At 43.6% G+C, this 23237-nt stretch overlaps 1 protein-coding gene across 1 annotated transcript in view; it reads left to right on the top strand.

Moving 5' to 3' along the window:
• The window catches only part of LOC124903450 (putative HERC2-like protein 3), a 38644-nt gene extending 15919 nt beyond the window's left edge, over positions 1-22725 (top strand). Inside the window, exons 4-17 of the mRNA XM_047433403.1 lie at positions 4660-4830; positions 5215-5318; positions 5613-5763; positions 8510-8724; positions 8998-9130; positions 9238-9365; positions 9458-9653; positions 12282-12415; positions 12945-13115; positions 13193-13335; positions 13453-13604; positions 14396-14587; positions 20903-21064; positions 22530-22725. Of these exons, the coding sequence (XP_047289359.1) occupies positions 4660-4830; positions 5215-5318; positions 5613-5763; positions 8510-8724; positions 8998-9130; positions 9238-9365; positions 9458-9653; positions 12282-12415; positions 12945-13115; positions 13193-13335; positions 13453-13604; positions 14396-14587; positions 20903-21064; positions 22530-22567 (2090 nt within the window). The 3' untranslated portion in view covers positions 22568-22725. The remainder of the gene's footprint in view (positions 1-4659; positions 4831-5214; positions 5319-5612; positions 5764-8509; positions 8725-8997; positions 9131-9237; positions 9366-9457; positions 9654-12281; positions 12416-12944; positions 13116-13192; positions 13336-13452; positions 13605-14395; positions 14588-20902; positions 21065-22529) is intronic.
• Positions 22726-23237: the final 512 nt, after the last annotated feature.

The following is a 23237-nucleotide window of genomic DNA, read 5'->3' on the forward strand; positions in this document are numbered from 1 at the left end:
AGGACATTTTTGCTGGATATAAGAATTCTGGGTTAATGGTTCTTTTCATCGCTTGAAAAATATTTTGTACTTTCAGCTGGGCTCCATGGTTTCTGATGAGAAATTCGCTGTCATTTGACTTGTTAATCCACGATAGTTAAGGCACTGTTTTTGTTTAGTGGCTTTTGAAATGTTTTGTCTTTTGTTTTTTGGAGTTTGATTATTATATGTCTTAGTTTGGATTTCTTTGGGTTCATCCTGTTTAGGGTTTGCTTACCTTAGATCTGTAGATTTATGTCTCTTGCCAAATTTGGGAACTTGTAAGCCATCACTTCATAGAGTACAGTTTCAGCCCCACCTTCTTTCTCCTGTCCCTTCGTGAGTTCAGTGACCGGAGTTGTTATAGTCCCATAGGTCCCCGAGACTGTTTTTTTGTTTGTTTGTTTGTTTTGCGGGTACATTGCTTTCTTTCTCCCTTCCCGTCCCGTCCTATCCCATCCCGTCCTGTCCTATCCCGTCCCATCCCGTCCCTTCCCGTCTTCGGAGTCTCTGCCTGTTTCCCAGGCTGGAGTGCAGTGCACGTTCTCAGCTCACTGCAACTGCCGCCTCCCTAGTTCGAATGATTCTCCTGTCTGAGCCTCTCGAGTAGCTGGGATTATAGGTACCCGCCACCATGCCCAGCTCAGTTTTATATTTTTAATAGAGATGAGGTTTCACCATGTTGGCCAGGGTGGTCTCAAAGTCCTAACCTTGTGATCTGCCTGCCTCGGCCTCCCAAAGTGCTGGGATTACAGGTGTGAGCCACCATGCCCAGCCTATTATTTGGCAGTCTTTAAACTAATGATAATAGGGGTCTTCTGCCTTTAGAAGAATTAGAACTGTGATTTAATTTGCAAATGAAAGTAGGTGTTCTCCAGAGTGGATTAAAATAAAGGTTTTGGTTTTAGATTTCAAGGCCAGCTTGAGATGCTGTGCTGGGTTCCCACAGAGGTGGTTCTGCCTTTCTCCAGGGGTCCTAGGCTTGTAGAGTGGTTTGGTCATGTTAGTAATCTGTGTGGATTCAACTTACCTATGGTATCATAAATGTATACATGCACAGTCAATGTTGTGTACATGTATACAGCAGATTTAGAGATTTATACAGTTTATATGCTGCATAAATATATAGACGTATAGTATAACTGTATCATCAACATTGTCATTTGATGGGTCAAGTGAGTCAATACCAAAATATAAAGCGTGGGTAAAAAACTGTGTTACTTTAGTTTTTCCCACCAGTTCTGAATTTTTGTTTACTTTTCCTTTCTAGCTTTTGTGTGGTCCTCTGAGCCCCAGTGAGAGTTTCCTGAGGTACCTCACCCTTCCACAAGACAACAGGCTTGCCATTGATCTGCAACAAACGGCGGTTGTTGTCATGGCCCATTTAGACCGTCTGGCTACACCCTGTAGATGCCTCCTCTGTGTAGCTCTCCGACGTCTCATAAGGTGTGTGCAAGAACCGTGTTCTCCATGTGTTTTGTAGCTAGTACCACTTGTAGGTTCTCATCCTGGGCCCGTGTGGAGACTTGTTTTTTCTGGTATTGGTAGGGGGAGCTGGCCTGTGGTTTTTAAACGTGTTTGCAGTTGAAGGTGTTATCCGTGTTGAGAGTGAGTGATGAGCAAGCTGAGGCGCACAGGCCTGGCGACCCAACCTGGGGGCCCGGGTTCCAGGTTCAGGTGGCACAGCCCCAGAGAGCTCCCCTTTATCCACAGCCCCAGGCCCTCCCACCTTCTGCAGGGGGTTCCACAGCCTTCTTCATACTCTGAACGCAGGCTGTCTTAGTATGTCATGCTGGTTATAGTAGTGACAGTATAATTATGTATTATATCTCTTATGTAATAGTAATGGTAGTGATTTGCATGTGTGGAGCACCTGTAGGGTGCAGGCCCGCTGAGGACCTCATGCACGCTGTTGTATCTCATTATGTCAATGAGAAAACTGCCTTTGGGAATGGTAGTGAACTTTGCCAGTGCAGAACAGTAATCCTAGTTTTGAATCCAGATTTTTCTAACATTTTATTTCTAGTATAAAGAGTATTTATTTTGTTTTACAGTCATTAAAAAAAAAAATACAGTCACATGGTTCAAAAATCAAACCTAGGCAGAGACACACTGTCGCTTCCCCTGCCCACCCCTTCCACCCATTTTCCCACCTGCTCCCTCTGACTTTCCAGTCTCCTCTGTAACCTCCTTGTTCTCTGGCATGAGTACGTTCGTGGTAGCATGCTTCATTACTTGTGTTGCTTGTTTTTTGTTTTTTTTTTTTAACTAACCATATATACTGGAGTACCTTATCAGAGTGTCCCTCTTTGTTTTTATAAATCAGCTTAGTCTTCAGTGTGTGGATGTGTCTTTTATCTATCTTTCTTTAGTGAGTCTCTTATTGGTGGACACTTGGGCTTATTGCCACAATGTTGCTATACAAATAGTGCTGAGGGTCGGGTGTAGTGGCTCACGCCTGTAATCCCAGCACTTTGGGAGGTCGAGGTGGGTGGATCACCTGAGGTTGGGAGTTTGAGATCAGCCTGGCCAACTTGGAGAAACCCCGTCTCTACTAAAAAATACAAAAATTAGCGGGGCGTGGTGACGGATGCCTGTAATCCCAGCTACTTGGGAGGCTGAGGCAGGAGAATCGCTTGAACCTGGGAGGCAGAGGTTGCAGTGAGCCGAGATCGCGCCACTGCACTCCAGGCTGGGCAACAAGAGTGAAACTCCATCTCAAACAACAACAACAGAAAACACAAATAGTACTGCAAGGCCTGGCCTGGAACACGTGTCCTCCATGTGTGCACGCGTGTGTGCCTGTGCACATGCACAGGTGGGGATGGACCTCGTGTGGGCTGGTTGTCACCAGATTGCTCCTGTACATCTTGATTTCTCTCACCACCAATAGGGATGCTGGTCTCCCAGCCTTGTGTGTGGGCTTTTGGGATTTTGCCTGCTAAAGCACAAAGTGGTGACCCCGATATAGTTTGAGCATTTTAAAATATATTAGTATTTAAGGGCCATTTATACTACTTTTTAATGGGCTCTGTTGAAATGCAATGGAAATGGAAAAATAGCCTGTTCAGTTGCTTCATCATACCTGTTAAATGCAGTAATATGGCATGGTACGAGATGGGGTTTCACTGTGTTAGCCAGGATGGTCTCGATCTCCTGACTTCATGATCTGCCCGCCTCGGCCTCCCAAAGTGCTGGGATTATAGGCATGAGCCACCGCGCCCGGCTGATTGGATTATTTTAAAGCATAACTCTGTCTTTAAAACATTTTAAGGTATTTTACCTCTTAATGATAAGGATTTTAAAAAAACCCTACAATATCATTATCCTGTCTATAAGATTAACAGTGATTCCTTAATCTAACATGCAGTCCATGTTACATTTTCCTGGACTATCTCAAAAATGCCTTTTTTAGGTGGTAATTTTGAATTAAGACCTGAGCATGTTCTGCGTATTGGCATTGCTTGACATATGCTTCTAGTCTCTTTCCCCAAACAACATGGCTCCAGGCCCTCTTCTCCCTGTCTCTGATCATACCGTTTTCTTTTTCAAAGAAGCAGGTTGGTTATTTTGGAGAACTTCACATTTTCTGAACTTGGTTGATTGCATTCTCTTATTCTAGACCAACATGTTCTTCTGTTAGTTACATTAATCTGCTGGTTAGATCTAGAGGTTTGGTTGGATTTGAATTCAGTCTCGTTGGGGCGGTGTTATGTCTGGGGTCATGCTGCATGCTTTCTGTTGGCTCAGGAGGCCTGTAATGCTCGGTGGCTCCCCGCTTTAGTTCTGTGAAGCTAGACCAGGGAATTCATGTGTTGCGTATCCTCTATAAAATCCCCTACCAACCTTGCCCTCTGCTGTCTGGTTAGCAGGAGGTACAATTTGTACAGGAAGGACATAATCTAAGCTTGACTTCTTGAACTGCCACCTCCCTTTAACTATTTTTCATAATATTGAGTTGGTATCCTAGCACTTGCATAGGTGACCACCACTCAGGTTTTCTTTTTTTTGAGTATTTTTATGAACTAACAGACTTTTATTGATTTGGTGTTTCTTTTCTTTTTTAGCTTTTTCCCCCTTTAATGTGTAAATATATACATTTAAAGGCATAAATGCCCTCAAGCATGCATTTAGTTGTATGTCACCAATTTCGATCTGCAGTATTTTGATTATTAACTGAACACATTTTCTAATTTTCATAGTCATTTTTTCTTAGAATTTTGGGTTACTTATAAGTGTATCTTGTAATTTTCAAATATGTGGATGAATATTTTTATTTTCTGTGTATACAGAGTCATTTTTATTTTATTTTGAATGAATTTTTGAAAACCTATTTGTAATTTAACTGCATTGTAGTCAGCACACATGCTCTGTAAGTTTATTTCTTTGAAATCTGTTGAGATTTACTCTATGGCCTGGCATGGCCCGATTTGGTATTCATGCTGCCTAGACCTTTTTTTTAAAGCATTCTATATTTAACAGAATTTGTATGTGTGGTATTAGTTTCAGAGCTAGGTATGTATTTCTCCCATTGTGATTGTGGATTTGTTTATTTCTGCTTGTAGTTCTTTCACACAGTTTGTTCTTTTCATTTTACCTGTTGATTGATCAATGGACTGATTCTGGTTTCTGTATATACAGAGTCATTTTTTACAGGTCAGAACTGTAGAAATAATGAGAAAGTGACACTTGTACGCATAGCTGATTTGGAGAACCATAATAACGATGGAGGCTTCTGGACTGTGATTGACGGGAAAGTGTATGATATAAAGGACTTCCAGACACAGTCGTTAACAGAAAATAGTATTCTTGGTAAGATTACACTTGTTATTTCCTGGTTAAAAGTTACAGCCTGTATCATTTTAAGCAGAGTATTTGGCTTATAAATGATTCCTTTAGTTTTGTGCCAGCCCCCGCATATTTTAATGTATCTGTGGCTTTGGTGTCTGTCTTATCAACAAATTCAGCACATTCGAAGAATTTCCTTTCATTATGTATCTTTTGTTTTAATACTTGGAACTCATTTCAAGTTCCGAGTTGGCCCAGGCAACCCTGGGAGACAGTGGGAGGTCATTATATTCTGGTAACCCTCACTTTTGAGTTAAGAGCCTAACTTATTTCCTACTCACTATTTCTCCTGTAGCTCTTCAGGCAAGCTGAATTGAACTCATGTTGCTTTTTCCCTTTTTGTTTCAGCTCAGTTTGCAGGGGAAGACCCAGTGGTAGCTTTGGAAGCTGCTTTGCAGTTTGAAGACACCCGGGAATCCATGCACGCATTTTGTGTTGGCCAGTATTTGGAGGTGAGGCTGTATGCCTTGAGTGATGCAGAGGATGGCAGGGGATACCCTCTGTGTGTTTGTGATAGGAATATTTGGATCTAGAAGTACTGATATCTGGGTCTTTTGTGGGTTTATGTGGTATCTGCTGTTACTTGGGCACAGCAGCATCAACTCATTACAGGATGGAGGGGCAGAATGCCCAGAGCACCCCTGGGCTCACGTGCGGTTACAGCTGCAGGACAGAGCTGTCCTTTTGGTTTTATGTTTTTAATTAATTCTGTTTCCTCAGATTGATGATGAAATTTATTTTTCCAGCCTGACCAAGAAATCGTCACCATACCAGATCTGGGGAGTCTCTCTTCACCTCTGATAGACACAGAGAGGAATCTGGGCCTGCTTCTCGGATTACACGCTTCCTATTTGGCAATGAGCACACCGCTGTCTCCTGTCGAGATTGAATGTGCCAGTAAGAAAATCTTTGCTTTTTGCTGATCAGCAGATTATTTTTTTTTGAACTGTAAGTGCCATTAAGAGTGGGAGAGGGCCAGGCACAGTGGTTCATGCCTGTAATCCCAGCAGTTTGGGAGGTTGTGGCACGTGGATTGCTTGAGGTCAAGAGTTTGAGACCAGCCTGGGCAACATGGCAAAACCCCATCTCTACAAAAAACACAAAAATTAGCCAGGCATGTTGGCACGTATTTGTAGTCCCAGATACTCAGGAGGCTGAGGTAGGAGGATTGCTTGAGCCTGGGAGGTTGAGGCTGCAGTGAGTCATGATCATACCACTGCACTCCAGCCTGGGTGACAGAGCAAGACTCTCTCTTTAAAAAAGCAGGAGATGGCCAGGCAGTGGCTCATGCCTGTAATCCCAGCACTTTGGGAGGCTGAGGCGGGTGGATCACCTGAGGTCAGGAGTTCAAGACCAGCCTGGCCAATGTGGTGAAACCCCATGTCTACTAAAAATGCAAAAATTAGCTGGGTGTGGTGACGGGTGCCTGTAATCCCAGTTACTCGGGAGGCTGAGGTAGGAGAATTGCTTGAACCCAGGAGACGGAGGTTGCAGTGAGCTGAGATCATGCCACTGCACTCCAGCCTGGGTGACAAGAGCGAGACTCGGTCTCAAAAAAAAAAAAGGAGAGGAGGATTCAACACAGTTGATGATGATAAAAATAATAATAATAAGGATAGTGAGACTCAATCAGGTAGAAACAGCTGTGAGTGGTTGTCATTTGCCCTCATGGTCTGTTGCTGCAGAGGAAGCTAAAAAGTGTGCAGGAATGTCTACCCGTCTGCCCTTGGTGGTCTCACGTATTGCAGCCTCTGCCTGATGGGCCCAGCATGGCTTTTGTCTCCCTGCATGCCCAGAAATTGCACAGAATGTGGATCAGCTGTCCTCTCAGGGAAGAGCATACTATTTGAGCACTGCGTTTTTACCAGACCAGGCTCAAGTCAGTTATATTTCAGGATGGCAGCCTTTGTAACCACCTAAAATAATAAGTTTCTTCCTGTCTCCTAAGATGGGTTTACATTTTCCTTCATGTAGTTGTGCATTTCCCATCTGTCTGTCTGTCCATCCATGTGAGCAGCTTCTGTTGAGCATTTGCCTGGTGCCGTTACCATACGAGGTGTTCAGGATACAGTGATAGATAGGACACACCTCTGCTTTCTGGTGCCGTTACCATGCGAGGTGTTCAGGATGCAGTGATGGGTAGGACACGCCTCTGCTTTCAGCTGCTGCTTGTTGATGAGCCACCATTCTAAGCAGGTCACATTACAAGGTGGTGAATGGTGAAATGGAGATGTTCATACATGGTTCTGGGAGAAGAAAGGCTTCACATTGGCAGCAGTCCTGAAATTGCGTGAGAGAGCATTCGGGGCAGAAAACACAGGAGTGTCAAGGGCACTGCTGAGAGGAGCAGGGCTTTCCTGCTGCTTGCAGGAGTGGGTGTGGCAGAGGCTTGCAGGGAAGGAGGATCTTGGTGTCCATACAGCCCCCCGTTGGGCGGACCTTTGTGCAGTGCTAGGTGCTGGGCTGCCTGTGGTGCCCTCTGAGGTGTCTGCTTCCTTCCCTCCTCCTCAAGGTTCATTGCTTGCCAGAAGATGGGCTTTGTTTAAATTGGCAAGGAGGGCAGGGCTGGCGAGCTCCAGGGCAGAGGGTGCCATGGGCCCTGGCAGGTGGGTCCGATCCACAGGAGGATCAGAGGCTTATCTTGGAGCAGTAAGGAGGGGCTGTCCTGTGCTTAAAGAGAGGGGGCCAGAGAGAGTCGGCATTGGATTAGTGTTTCAGAAGAACGAATGTGGTGTGTTGGGGAATGCTCCTGAGTGCTCTAAAATCTAAATGTCCAGTAAAAGAACACTAAGTGCATCCCGCTTTGATTGCTTGGATTTGGAGCAGTATTTGATAACACAGATTGTTAATAGAGATCTGTAGTGGTGCACTCCCTCAAGTTGCCATAAGCAGTTGTAATTAACATTCGCACTGGTTGATCCCATGCCTTGCACCACGCACAGGTCTCCTTTCCAGTCCATCGGCCCTCCCATCTCCAAGGATCTATCCTTCATTACAGATTGTGTGTTTCTTAAATATTTTCTCCTTTTCATTCCTTTATAAGTGCTCTAGGAATACATAGCCTACCCTGAGGATGTAATTCTTTGTAGAAACCCTTCAGATGTGCTGTTCCCTGCCTGGATACTCAGCGTCTGGGTCTTATTCCTCATCTTAGCTCAGTTGTTGCTTCCACAAGTCCCTCACTGACCCTCAGAATAGCGGTGGTCTGTCTTCCAGTCTCCCTGGTACCCCCATAGTCATCTGTTGCACAGTTTTGGACTTGAAATCCTGTGATTAATTGTGTCAGCGGTGCCCTTTGCTGCCTTCCCTGTTAGAATGTGCACCTCAGTCTTCACACGGTACCTGTGGAACCAGGCAGCTGCAGGCAGAGCACAGGTATCCAGAGAATGTTGGACTGGAACTACGATCCTGAGTTCTGATGCCATGCCTGAGGCGTGTGGAATCACCAGAAAGTGTGTTCACGTAGATAGAGGAATTATAAGTCAACCTGTGTAAACATGTTAGGTGGAGCTCTTTCATATGAATGATGCTGAATTTCACCTTCTAAATTGAGTGTTCAGTTGAGCATCTTTTTTTTTTTTTAGTATTTATTTTGAGTTGTGCACTTGAGTTTCTCTTTCATGTTTGCGTGTGCATTTTCTAGAATGGCTTCAGTCATCCATCTTCTCTGGAGGCCTGCAGACCAGCCAGATCCACTACAGCTACAACGAGGAGAAAGACGAGGACCACTGCAGCTCCCCAGGGGGCACACCTGCCAGCAAATCTCGACTCTGCTCCCACAGACGGGCCCTGGGGGACCATTCCCAGGCATTTCTGCAAGCCATTGCAGACAACAACATTCAGGATCACAACGTGAAGGTGAGCTAGGCCTGCCCCCACTGCCACCTCAGTGCTCTGTTTATCTGAGGACTTTGACATAGGAATACTTATGTGCTCTTTGGTTAACACAGCACAGACTTTGTTTCATGTATTATTTGGAGGGTTTTGAGGTGAGAACCTGATTGTGTTAACATGCTAGCGAGGCTTCAGAAGCATTAGTGATTGCAAGTGCGTCAGAAGCTGTGGCATGTTTAAGATTTGTGAAGACTCACTGGGTTTCCCTGAAGTTACTTCCAGCTGTTCCTGTTGCAGGACTTTTTGTGTCAAATAGAAAGGTACTGTAGGCAGTGCCATTTGACCACACCGATCATGTTTCCCCCCGAGCATCCCGTGGAAGAGGTCGGTCGCTTGCTGTTATGTTGCCTCTTAAAACATGAAGATTTAGGTAAGGAGCTCAATATCTTTGTACTTTAGCTACACTGCAGATTCCTCGACTAACCTGTGGTACGTATTCATTCCTTCACTGCCCTTCTTTTAAATGTCTTTTTACAGGTCATGTGGCATTATCTTTAGTTCATGCAGGTGCACTTGGTATTGAGCAAGTAAAGCACAGAACGTTGCCTAAGTCAGTGGTGGATGTTTGTAGAGTTGTCTACCAAGCAAAATGTTCGCTCATTAAGGTGATAGATTTTAATTCTTTTTATTCTGTGCTTTGCAGACAGTTGCTGAAATATTTGTTGTTAAAGTTGTCTTTTCCTGGTTAACTTTGCAGACTCATCAAGAACAGGACCGTTCTTACAAGGAGGTCTGCGCTCCTGTCATCGAACGTTTGAGATTCCTCTTTAATGAATTGAGACCTGCTGTTTGTAATGACCTCTCTATAATGTCTAAGTTTAAATTGTTAAGTTCTTTGCCCCATTGGAGGAGGATAGCTCAGAAGATAATTCGAGAACCAAGGAAAAAGAGAGGTAAGAATGTAAAAGGACAGAAGATACTATTAAAGCTTGTGCTTCACCCTGCCACGTTGGATCTGTGATTTCAGAGTGAAGTTTCTCTACTGTTGATTCCATGTAACATTTCTACCTGCTGCCATCATTTTTATTATAGTTAGGATTAAATACAGACATCTCGCTTATTTTTCCAAATGATCAGACAATGAGGCAGTTTAGGAATTGAGTGTGGTATGATTTGATTACTAGTAAATTGATGTTGAAAACGTAAATAATCTTTGCTAAATTGATGGGAACAAGGAAGTACTTTTATTAGTTATCCTGGTAATGAGATATAATGGGAACATTTAAACTTATTGCCATTCTTCTAAAGAAATGTTTTTTGTTTGGAAATATTGAGTATTCTGATACATGAAGAACTATAAAGGGAAGCTAAAAGAGTTACTGACATTTTCCTGGAAGTAGCTGTGTAAGGGTACAGAAAAGTCTTTTTGCATTAAATCCAAATTTGAATAAAAATGCTTAGAAATTATAAAATAGTTTAGAATTTAGTCACTTGTGATTATAAATAAACTACAGAAATTTCTGATTATATCCTTTTTTTTTTTTTTTTTGAGATGGAGTCTTGGTCTGTTGCCAGGCTGGAGTGCAGTGGTGCGATCTCAGCTCACTGCAACCTCCGCCTCCCAGGTTCAAACGATTCCCCTGCCTCAGCCTTCCAAGTAGCTGGGATTACAGGCACGCGCCACCACTCCTGGCTAATTTTTATATTTTAGTAGAGACGGAGTTTCACCATGTTGGCCAAGATGGTCTTGATCTCCTGACCTCGTGATCTGCCTGCCTCGGCCTCCCAAAGTGCTGGGATTACGGGCGTGAGCCACCGCGCCTGGCCTCTGATCATATTATGACTTATACTGATTTACTCACAAACCTGCTTATTGAACAGTATTGATTACTGACTTTCTGATGGGCATTTTGAACAATAAGCTTATGAAAGACTAAAGTGTGTTAGAAGCCATCCTAATTTGATTGTTCCTGAACAAACCCTACACCATAACAGCCTGTCTGAATGCGAGGGGTGCTCTGGATCAGGAAGTCACAGCAGTCACACTGCTGCGATTCCTTTAACCCAGGCATGCAGGAACTCAGCCTGGGCCCAGGAGACAGGCTGCCTCGGAATGAGGGAGAGAGACTCCACATTTGCCATCTCATATCCGTGGGTTCTGAGCCCACACTGTCACTTTTAGAGTTTCTTGTGGGTTTATAGATTTATCGTGTGGTGTTTCAAGCTGGTTTTCTTTTTTTTTTGGAAATTAAGTAACTTGAAAAGATTAAGTGATTAATATTCCTGTTGCTGTGTCAGGGATCCCCGAGCCTTCTCTCAGGCTTGATGATTCACTAAAAGGACTCAGAAGAGCTGTTATAGTCACAGCTGTGTTTTTACTGCAAAAAGGATACAGATTAAAATTAGCAGAGGGAAGGGTGCATGGAGGGAAGTCCAGAGGAAACTAGGCACACGCTTTGGTGTCTCTCCCCAGTGGCGTCACGTGGATGTGCTTAGCTCTCCCAGCAACAGTGTCACATCATGTGTGAAGAATTGTCAACCAGGCCAGCGCACCTGAGCCTCGAGTCTAGAGATTTTGTTGGGGGCCAGTCACATACGCAGGCAGTGCCCCTGTGACTGACCTCACTCAGGCTCCAGTGCCCCAGTGCAAAAACAAGTGGTCCCTCGCAAGTCCCATCATTAGCATAAACTACCTGGCCAGACCACTGCCACAAGGTCCTGGGTGTCAGGTATACCAAAAAACTTCTCAGGCAGGATGTTCCAAGGGCTCAGAGCTCAGCTCCTAGAAGAAGGACCAATCCTGAAGGGACAGACCTTCCTTGGGAATTTGCAGGGTTTGAGCAACCCCGGCCTGCTATGTTAGCTCTTTACTGCCCAGATGTATTATCATGTTGCTTATTTTTTATATTATATGCTGAGGAGATTTAGACCAAAAATTTTAAAAGAGATAAAGTATAGGGAGGAAATTCCACATATCACAGTGAATTCAGTTGATTCAGTTACACAGTAACAGAACCACTGAACTGGACCAGGGTGGACAAGCCAGGAACTATGGGCCAAATTCTACCTCTTGCTGGCTTTGGGTTGCCCATGGACTAAGACCTTTTTTTTTTTTCCAGTTTGAAATTGTTATTTAAAAATTAAAAGAAGTATATTATTTTGGCACATGAAAATTACATGAAGCTAAAATTGTAGCACCATAAATAAAGTTTTACAGGAGCACAGCCACACCTGTTGCTTTATCTGTGGTTACTTTTTGTGCTACAGCAGCAGAGTTGAGTATTTGCGACAGACAGCATGGCCTGAAAGACTCAAATGTTCACTCTCTGGCACTTGAGGAAGAGCTTGCTGGCTGCCGGGCTTCCCCTGCTTCGGGGCTTCTCCCCTCGTCGCACTCTCACTTTGTCTTTTTGTTCTGCCAGGGTGATCATTTCACTCTTGTTGAGCATTGCAATTTATAATGTTGTTCAGATGTTTATTTGAATGAAATATTTGTCCTTCATGTAAATCTAAATATGTCTTAATTTAAAATTAATATTTAAGTGTATGATTTTTATAGTGAATGATGTTTTAAAACACAGTTCCTAAGAAGCCAGAATCTACGGATGATGAAGAAAAAATTGGAAACGAAGAGAGTGATTTAGAAGAAGCTTGCATTTTGCCTCATAGTCCAATAAATGTGGACAAGAGACCCATTGCAATTAAATCACCCAAGGTGCAGTATTTTCTGTGATTCTGAGGTTGGCTGAATAGAATCGTAGCATGTAGCACAGGAATCCACAGTCTTGTACCTCTGTACCTGAGCATCTGGAGGGAGGGACGGGCGGTTGTTAGAAATACGGCCCCAGTGATGCTTCATGAACTTGACTTATGATGTCCTGGTCAGAGCTGTAGCTGGAGAAGGGTTTCCTTTTATTTTTGGTATTAGATTGTATCATTAATTATTCACCATTCATTCCTTAAATATATTCTTTGTTCCAGAAACAGTGCTGGGCCCTGTGGCTGTTAATATGAACCATAACTTAACTTAGTATGCCAAGCTAGCCTGTTCCAACATATAGTATAGAGATTATAAATTCACTTATATTTATAGCATAGTTTTAAAAACATGTATTACTAAATTTAACGTATTTTAACCAATTTAAACCCATAAGCATTATTTATATTTTACTTGAATAACTTTTAGAGCACAGTTTATTATTAAATAGGGTAGACTAATGATGAAAATTGTTTTCCTTTGTTAGGACAAATGGCAGCCGCTGTTGAGTACTGTTACAGGTGTTCACAAATACAAGTGGTTGAAGCAGAATGTGCAGGGTCTTTATCCGCAGTCTCCACTCCTCAGTACAATTGCTGAATTTGCCCTTAAAGAAGAGCCAGTGGATGTGGAAAAGAGAAAGTGCCTACTAAAACAGGTAACATTTGATGAGAAATGCTTCTCTGCATTGGGTAATATACATAACACTTAACTGTATGCATTGATATTTTGCAGTTGGAGAGAGCAGAGGTTCGCCTGGAAGGGATAGATACAATTTTAAAATTGTATCTGGTGAGCAAGAATTTCTTACTTCCATCTGTGCCATATGCAATGTTTTGTGGATGGCAAAGACTTATTCCTGAGGGAATCGATATAGGGTAAAACGTTAGCATATTTTTTTCTTAATTAAGGAAGCTGTGGCAACAGAATGTTTTTCTGTAACAGTTAGAAGTCTGGCAGTGTCCCAAGTCAAATTCTTTATCTTTATTTGAAAGGGAACCTCTTACTGATTGTTTAAAGGATGTTGATTTGATCCCGCCTTTTAATCGGATGCTGCTGGAAGTCACCTTTGGCAAGCTGTACGCTTGGGCTGTTCAGAACATTCGAAATGTTTTGGTGGATGCCAGTGCCAAATTTAAAGAGCTTGGTGAGTCAATAATTGTATCAATGTTATTTTATAGTTTGCCTTTAATTATATGTTGTGGAAACTTGCAAATGCCAATTTTTGGTTTTGAGAAGACTTTAATAAGTTTGTACTTTGTACTTGTATAATCTATGCTGCTGTCAGCTTTCTCAGATTTTAAACAAAACTTTAAAATTTAGCAGGAGACACAATGTTGAAGTACTCTAGTATAACATTTTTACATTTTGACATTTTTATGTGTATCACCACATATCCTAAAGTGTCTGTGTCCTATATTGATATTTATTTCCTGGATAGTTTGAGCATCTACAGAGAGTTGATTGGATTGATTTTATGGAGGAAAAGTGAGACATAACTTTTATATTTGAAATGGAAGGAATGGAATAGGGCACCGGTGTATTCAGAGAGCAACATACTAAGTCCTGTAGACAGATGGAACGACCTGTGCATAGAATGCAGGGGGTAGGCCCATCGTGCAGCATGACAGAGCTGCCCACTCTGTGGAAACCACTGAAAAATAGTCAGATGTTTAGAGTAATCGCCCGTGCCTTCTGCGTTACGTTTATGCTTGTATCCATGCGAGAGAAATGTCAGTGGGTGTCAAAATAGTCAGATGATTAGAGTAATTGCCCATGCTTTCTGCGTTACGTTTATTCTTGTATCCACGCACAAGAAATGTCAGTGGGTGTCAGTGCTTATTAGTCAGATGTTTAGAGTAATTGCCCGTGCTTTCTGCATTACATTTATTCTTGTATCCATTACAAGAAATGTCAGTGGGTGCCAATGCTCATTAGGTATCCAGCCGGTTCCCCTGCAAACCATCACCAATGAGAACCCATCGGGACCGAGCCTGGGGACCATCCCGCAAGCCCACTTCCTCCTGGTGATGCTCAGCATGCTCACCCTGCAGCACAGCGCAAACAACCTTGACCTCCTGCTCAATTCCGGCACGCTGGCCCTCGCTCAGACGGCACTGCGCCTGATTGGTAGGTCTGCACTGGCTTGAGAGCCTTTGGGAAAACGTCAAGATTTTGCTTTGATTTATTTTCTTTCTTTTTTTTAAAAAAAGCTTTTTGTAAATTATGGTAAGACACAAATAGCAGAAAGTGTAGCATTTTAACGTCGCAATTCAGCGGTATTAAATACATTCACAATTTTCTAGAGTCATCACCACTGTCTAGTTGTAGAACTTTTTCATCACTATAAATGCACCCCATTTAGCCATCAGTCCTCACTCCCCTGCTCTCCAGCCCCTGGTAGTCACAAATCTGCTTTCTCTGTCTATGGATTTGCATATCCCGGATATTTCATATAAATGGAATCATACCATTTGTGGCCTTTGTGTCTGGGTTATTTCATTTGGTATATATCAGTACTTTATTTTTATGGCTGAAAAAGATTTCATTGTATGAATATATAACATTTTGTTTACTCATTTATCTGTTGATGGACATTTGGGTTGGTTTTGCCTTTTGACTTTTGTGAATAGTGCTGCTAGGAACATTTATATACAAGTACTTGTTTGAACACTTGTTTCTAGTTCTTTTGATTATACACCTAGGACTGGAATTACAGGGTCATATGGTACAACTATGTGTAACTTACTGAGAAACTACCAAAGTTTTCCACAGTGCCATATCATTTTTACATTCCCATCACCAGTGGGCAGGATTCCAGGGTTCCAGTTTCTCTGCTTCCCTGCCAACACTATTTTTTGTGGTTTTCTTTTTTTTTTTGGATTAAGGCCATCCTAGCGGGTGTGAAGTGGTATCTCATTGTGATTTTGGTTTGCATTTCACTAATGATGAATGACATTGAGCTTCTTTACATGTTTGTGCTTGTTGGCCATTTGTATATCTTCTTTGGAGAAGTGTCTATTCAAGTCCCTTTCTCTTTATTTTTTATTTTATTTTTTTGAGACGGAGTCTCACTCTGTCGCCCAAGCTGGAGCGCAGTGGCACGATCTCGGCTCACTGCAACCTCCGCCTCCCGGGTTCAAGCACTTCTTGTGCCTCAGCCTCCCAAGTAGCTGGGATTACAGTCACACACCACCACACCTGGCTAACTTTTGTATTTTTAGTAGAGATGGGATTTCGCCATGTTGGCCAGGCTGGTCTGGAACTCCTGACCTCAGGTGATCTGCCTGCCTTGGCCTCCCAGAGTGCTGGGATAACAGGCGTGAGCCACTGCGCCCAGCCCCTTTCTCCTTTTTAAATAGGGTTATTTGTCGTCATCTTGTTGTACCAATAAATGCACTATATAAGTGTATCAAACCTTTAAAGAAGAATTAACACCAGTCCTCAGACTCTTTAAAAAGTTCGTGTATACTAGACCTTCACAGATCTGTAGACCTTTATCAGGTATATCATTTGAGGGTATTTTCTCCTGTTCTCTGGATTGTATTCCCTTAGATAGAGAAGTTTTTTATTTTGATGAAGTTCAATTTATCTGTTTCTCTTTTGTCGTCTATGCTTTTGATATCATATCCAAAAAGCCATTTCCAAACACAAGGTTGATGAAGATTATCCTCATGTTTTCTTCTGTAAGTTTTATAGTTTCAGCTCTTATATTTAGATCTTTGGTCCATTTTTAGGTAATTTCTTTTACACAGTGTGAGGTAAGAGTCCAGCCTTTTTCTTTTGTTGATCTGATTGTTTCAATACCACTTGTTGAGGACTGTTCTTTCCCTGAAGTTCTGGGTACCCTTGGCAAAAATCAGTTGGCTGTGGATATTTAGGTTTATTTCTGGACTCTCAATTACATTATCACATTCTATATGTTGATAATTGTGCAGGTACCGCCCTGTTTTGAACATTGTAGTTTTGTACTGTTTTAAAATTGAGAAGTGTGTTTTCTTTCTCAAGATGATTTTGGCTACTTTGGGTCCCTTGCATTTTCACATGAACTTCAAGGCTGGCTTTTCCATATCTGCAAAAAAAGACCATTGGGATTTTTGCTAGGGATTGAATCTGTAGATTGTTTTGGGGAATAGTGCCATTTTAACAATGTTAACATCCATTCTCTGAATGTGGAATGTCTTTCCATTTATTTCTGTCCTCTTTAATTTCTTTCAGCAATATTTTATTGTTTTACAGTTATCAGGGTAATAATGGCCTCATAGAATGAACTAGGTAGTGTTCCCATATATTCTGTTTTTAGAAGAGTTTGAGGATTGGTGTCAGTTCAGCTTTAAATGTTTGGTAGAGTTGACCACCTAAGCTTTTCTTTGTTGAAAGATTTTTTTTTTTTTTTTCTTTGAGACGGAGTCTCACACTGTTGCCCAGGCTGGACTGCAGTGGCGTGATCTCGGCCCACTGCAAGCTCCGCCTCCCGGGTTCACGCCATTCTCCTTCCTTAGCCTCCTGAGTAGCTGGGATTATAGTCGCCAGCCACCACGCCCGGCTAATTTTTTGTATTTTTAGTAGAGACGGGGTTTCACTGTGTTAGCCAGGATGCTCTCGATTTCCTGACCTCGTGATCCACCCGCCTCGGCCTCCCAAAGTGCTGGGATTACAGGCGTGAGCCACGGCGCCTGGCCTGAAAGATTTTTAATTACCGATTCAATCTCTTTACTTGTTATGGCTCTATTCAGATTTTCTATTTCTTCTTGAGTCAGTTTGGGTAATTTATGTTTCTAGGAATGTGTCCATTTTATCTAGGCTATTTTATTTGTTGGCATACAGTTGTTCACAGTGTTCTTTTATAATCTTTTTTATTTTTATGTTGGTAGTACTGTCTCCACTTACATTTCTGATGTTAGTTATTTGCATCTTTTCTCTTTTTTTTCTTTTTTTTTTTTTTTTTTTGAGATGGAGTCTCACTCTGTTGCCAGGCCAGAGTGCAGTGACACAGTCTTGGCTCACTGCAACCTCCGCCTCCCGGATTCAAGTGATTCTCCTGCCTCAGCCTCCCAAGTAAGCTGGGAGTACAGGCGCCTGCCGCCAGGCCTGGCTAATTTTTTTTGTATTTTTAGTGGAGATGGGGTTTCACCATGTTGACCAGGATGATCTAAATCTCTTGACCTTGTGATCCGCCCACCTCAGCTTCCCAAAGTGCTGGGATTAGAGGCGTGAGCCACCTTGACTGGCCTCTTTTTTTCTTAATTTACCAAAAGTTTGTCAGATTTTTTGTTCTTGCCAGAAACCGAACTTTTGGTTTTGTAGATTATTTTTCTATTCTCTATTTAATTTATGGCTGCTCTAATCTCTATCGTTTCCTTCTTTCTGCTTTGTATTTTTTTGTTTTTGTTTTTGTCTTTGTTTTGAGACAGGGTCTTACTTTGTCCCTCAGGCCCAAGTACAGTGGCGCACTCATGGCTCACTGCAGCCTCAACCTCCTGGGCTCAAGTTATCTACCTGCCTCAGCCTCCCAAAGTTGCTGGGATTACAGGTGTGAGGCACGACACCTGGCCTAACTTTGGTTTTTATTGTGTTCTTATTTTTTTAGTTCTTCCAGATGTAGAGTTATTGATTTGAGATCATCTTTTGTAAATGCAGACTTTTATAGTATAATTGCCCCTTTTAGCCCTGCTTTTGGCCCAGCACAGAAGTTTTGGTGTGTTGTGTTTTCATTCATCTCATAGTATTTTCTAATTTCCCTTGTGATTTCTTCTTTGACCCACTGATTGTTTACCATGTGTTGTTTAATTTTCATATACTTGTGAATTTTCCACTTTTCCTTTTGTTATTAATTTCTCATCATTTCCTTTTGGTTGGAGAAGGTAACTTGTATGATTTTCGTCTGTTTAAATTTGAGACTTTGTGGCCTAACATATGGTCTGGTCAGTCTAAGAGAGTGTCCTGTGGTATACTTGAGAAGAACGTGTATTCTGCTCTTTTTGGTGAAATGTTCTGTATATGTCTATTAGATCTGATTGGTTTATGGTGGTGTTCTTTGGCTAAAACTGAGATGCTGCAGGGCCAGTTGTCAAAGTCACAGTGAAAAAGCAAGGTTTTCCCAAGCTCTTATAATCACATCAGTTTTAGAGTTCACATTAATCCATTCAAAAATATGTATCAGGCCAGGCTGTAATCGTAGTACTTTGGGAGGCTCAGGCGGGTGGATTGCTTGAGCTCAGGAGTTTGAGACCAACTTGGGCAACATAGCGAAACCCTCTCTCTACAAAAAATACGAAAATTAGCTGGGCATAGTGGTGTGTGCCTGTGGTCCCAGCTACCTGGGAGGCTGAGGTGGGAGGATTGCTTGAGCCAGGGATGCAGAGGTTGCAGTGAGCGGAGATCAAGCCACTGCACTCCAGCCTGGGCTCCAGCCTGGGTGACAGAGTGAAATCCTGTCTTGGGGGTGGGTGGAATCTTTCTATCTATCTGTCTGTCTGTCTGTCTCTCTCTCTCTCTCTATATATATATATATAATTATTTTTTAATTTATATATTATGTTTATATGTTGTATTATGTTAAATATATATTTTAATATGTGTATTACAGCTGAAAAGAATTATCTAGTAAGGGTTATATCTGATTTCCTGAGGCCTCATTAGCAACCAAAAGTTGCATTTAAAAATTACAAAAGCATATCTCCATCGAGAAATGGCCTTTTTATGTTGTCTACTTTTCCCCCAGAGGTTCCCATAAGTAAAAATCACAGCACAAATCATTAAGTATGGGGACTTGTTCTGTTGATAATATTCATGTGTTTAAATTTCATCTGGCCCACTGGCTGCAAAAAGCAAGGAAGTTGTGTCTCATGAATATCCGTCTATATTTGCAGCTTGCCCTGATCAGGGTATCCTTCTTATCATTTAAGAAATTATAAACATATAATATTTTATACCAGCTTAATGTATACATCCACATGTAACAGCCACAAAACATAAAGCTATGTAAAATAAAAAAATTCCCCCCGGTTTTGGTTGCAAATTTATTCAAGCCCTTAGCAATAAATTCAGTCTTTACAGAGTTAACAGTATAGCTGCCCAGGGGATCCTGGGAGATCCACCTGGAATGCAACTCCTGTCCCTTCCTTGGGGCTCCTTCCTGGGGGCCCTAAAGTAGCGGCTAGGCTAAAGGAAAGGCTGTTTCTGCTGCTAGTTTATCTAAAGTTTTGCTCCAGCCCTGGGAATTGAATATCCTTTTTTGTTCTCTTGGAAGAGAGAGAAACACAAACTTTTTACATTTTTTGGTCCACCCCAGCCCACCTTTGGGACTGTTTGGATCTTTTTCCCTCCCACCTGGAGGAGAAAACTAAAATCAAGGGAGTTACCAGAACCACACTCCTACCCCCTCTCAGTTTAGCAAGTGGGAAAAGGGGGGTTAAAAATCTAGCCTACTCTCCTAGGGTTAGCGCTCCTATTTTCAGATCCATTGGGAAGTTTTACTTCTCTCAGGTGACAGCAGCTCGGCTTCTGTTTTGTGCTATGGATGACTCTGTAGCCACCCAGGGCACCAATTGTCAGGGGTCTCCGAGACCACCCCCAGGTTTGATGGTTGGCCAGGAGGACTCACAAGACTCAGCATGTAGTTGTACTCAGGGCTATAGTTTATTACAGTGAAGGGACACAGAGCAAAATCATGAAAAAGGACATGGGTAAAGTCCAGAGGAAAGCAGGTACAAGCTTCCACAGGATCCACACAGGACGAGCTTAACTGCCCTGGCACCGAGCCGTGTCAAGTGCTGTCTGCCGGGAAGCTGGGTAGAGACTCCAGGCCCACGGTTTCCATCAGGACTGATCACACGGGCACCCCCTGCCTGGCGTGTACCAAGTTCCAGACTAAGGAAAGCAGGTTTCAGCACAGACCCCATTGTTTGTACAGACAGTTCAGGCACAGGGAACCACACCTACCACCTAGGGAATGGGGGAGCCCTCCTGAGATCCAGACTCCAGCTGAGGGCCAGCCTGCAGCAACCCTGTCTGAGGTTGTATCTCGGGCCAGCTGTTAGCTGTCTTCTGCACAGAACCATGATTAAAGTTTGTTAGTTTCCCACTGTTAGATATTTAGGTAGTTATCTTTGTTTTTCTATTAATAAAAAATGTGATGAGGATCTTTCTAACTCAGTTATTTTGCTTTTTTCAGGGGAGTAATTCCTAGAAGTAGAGAAAGTAGCTTTACTGAGCATTTTAATATCTTTTATATCTTCCTAGGATATTTATGTATTTCATCCTTCCGTTTATCTTCTTTTTATCCTATATCAGTAAAATATTCATAATATTATATTGATAAAACATATAGTATGGATTGTTCAAAATTACGATCTTCATTAGTACTTTGTGAATGTTTTGTGTGTATTAAGGGGACACTGTAGCTACTTGTTGGCTCAGCTATTGTTTTTGACGCTCCGTCAGGCCCCAGTTGTGACAACGTTGAGGAAGATATGAATGCTTCTGCTCAAGGTGCTTCTGCCACAGTTTTGGAAGAAACAAGGAAGGAAACGGCTCCTGTGCAGCTCCCTGTTTCAGGGCCAGAACTGGCTGCCATGATGAAGATTGGAACAAGGGTCATGAGAGGTGTGGACTGGAAATGGGGCGATCAGGTACTCAGAGATTTGATGTGAACACATTAGCCACACATTAGTTATCTTCTGCATAGTTCTGTACGATATTGGTGGGTGGAAATTGGAATAATCCAGGATGTGTCAGTTGATCGATGACACAGGTGTTGGTTCCCGAGCAGCTGAAGGGAGTGAACACAAACAGGGAATCATAAGTAGGGCATCTGAGCAGAATCAAGTCTGGAAAGAGAGGCAGCTCTTTTCAGGAAACTCACTGGCATGAGGCTCAGTTTGATGGGTCACTGGAACAAGAGTGTGAGAGTGAGCAAGAGAGTAAATCTCATTCTGAAAGTTGGTGTAGTGAAGGCTCTGAGGCAGGAAGCCCAGATGCTGCCCCTGTGGGCTGATGGCCATGTGCTGCGAAGTGCCCTGAAGCCAGTAGTTAGGGATCTACTTCATGGGCCTGTGGCCACGTTTCCATCTTCCCTCATCGCAGGTCTCTTCTAAATCTCTGCCAGGTGCCCCCAGGTGGAAGTCACTTACCACAGCCCTAGCTAAGTTAGGGCAGTGTTCACCTTCCCATGGTCTGTCTGGCTTTTCTCAGCCACGCTGGTAAGCCCTGGCTTTGTCACAGTCATCTTAGAAATAGCAGTGTCTGGAGACAGCATCCATCCTAGAAACAGCTTTCTCCTGCAGAAGTGAGAGACAGAGCTTCCCCCTGGGGCCCAGGGGAAACTGAAGCAAAGGGAATGTGGAGGTGCTGGTGCTTGTTTCAGGTTTCCGCTCTTGCAAGGCCCGTGAGGGATTGTGGGGACAGGACTTGCTGCAAAGCCCTGTCTCTGCATTGACTCAGAGGATCCTCATTGAGATGAGATTTCCCCGACTTCCTTGGTAAAGCAGCATGAGCACGTTATTTTATGCCATTTAATTTAAAATGATGCAAGCACACATTTTGTAGGAGAGGTGAAATCTGTGTCTGGGGACAGCCCCTGACAGACAGGGTGGCATATGGCGACATCTGTGTGGCAGGTCTGGTGGGAGCCATGGAAGGACCAGGGCAGGGCACGCACCCTCCTAACTGAGGTCTGGTGGGAGCCATGGAAGGACCAGGGCAGGGCACGCACCCTCCTAACTGAGGTCTGGTGGGAGCCATGGAAGGACCAGGGCAGGGCAGGCACCCTCCTAACTGAGGTCTGCTGGGAGCCATGGAAGGACCAGGGCAGGGCACGCACCCTCCTAACTGAGGTCTGGTGGGAGCTATGGAAGGACCAGGGCAGGGCACACACCCTCCTAACTGAGGTCTGCTGGGAGCCATGGAAGGACCAGGGCAGGGCATGCACCCTCCTAACTGAGGTCTGCTGGGAGCCATGGAAGGACCAGGGCAGGGCACACACCCTCCTAACTGAGGTCTGCTGGGAGCCATGGAAGGACCAGGGCAGGTTACGCACCCTCCTAACTGATCTCTACTTTGGCTTTCTCAGGATGGGCCTCCTCCAGGCCTAGGCCGAGTGATTGGTGAGCTGGGAGAGGACGGGTGGATAAGAGTCCAGTGGGACACAGGCAGCACCAACTCCTACAGGATGGGGAAAGAAGGAAAATACGACCTCAAGCTGGCAGAGCTGCCAGCCCCTGCACAGCCCTCAGCAGAGGATTCGGACACAGAGGACGACTCTGGTGGGTGACTCAGGAAGGTGTTTAGTCCAAGGCAGCCTACAAACTGTCCAGTTGCTGGGTGCTGCCACTGCCATCTGGGCCTTAGAATGGGATGTCAGGACACACCTGCAGCTGGCGCTCTGTCCTCGGAACCTGTAATTTAAATAAGCTCCCAGGCACCTCCGATGCAGGTGTGTGGAGTGACTGTGGGATCCGGCGATCTGGCTGGAACTGACTTTCTGCATTTTCCTCTCATGTGTGCACCCGCCCCTCTTTGAGAATGTGGTGGCCAGGTGGGGGCAGCTGCATCACCAGTGAGTCTCATGTGGTTGGTGCTGAGCCTGCATCTGAGCGAGTGAGCCGAGGCCTGGTGGAATTGCCCTGCGGTCTCGGTCCATCGCGTCCTCCTCCAGTGAGAGCCCCTGCCCAAGCACACCCCACCTGCCACCTGCCTTTACCTTTCCTCTGTGGTCCCTGACTCTGAACTCTTCATGTAATGTGGAGTTAGTCAGCACTTTATCGCTTCTAGGGAAGCA

The sequence above is a fragment of the Homo sapiens genome, chromosome 15 (genome assembly GCF_000001405.40).
Source record: "Homo sapiens chromosome 15, GRCh38.p14 Primary Assembly".
NCBI lineage: Eukaryota > Metazoa > Chordata > Mammalia > Primates > Hominidae > Homo > Homo sapiens.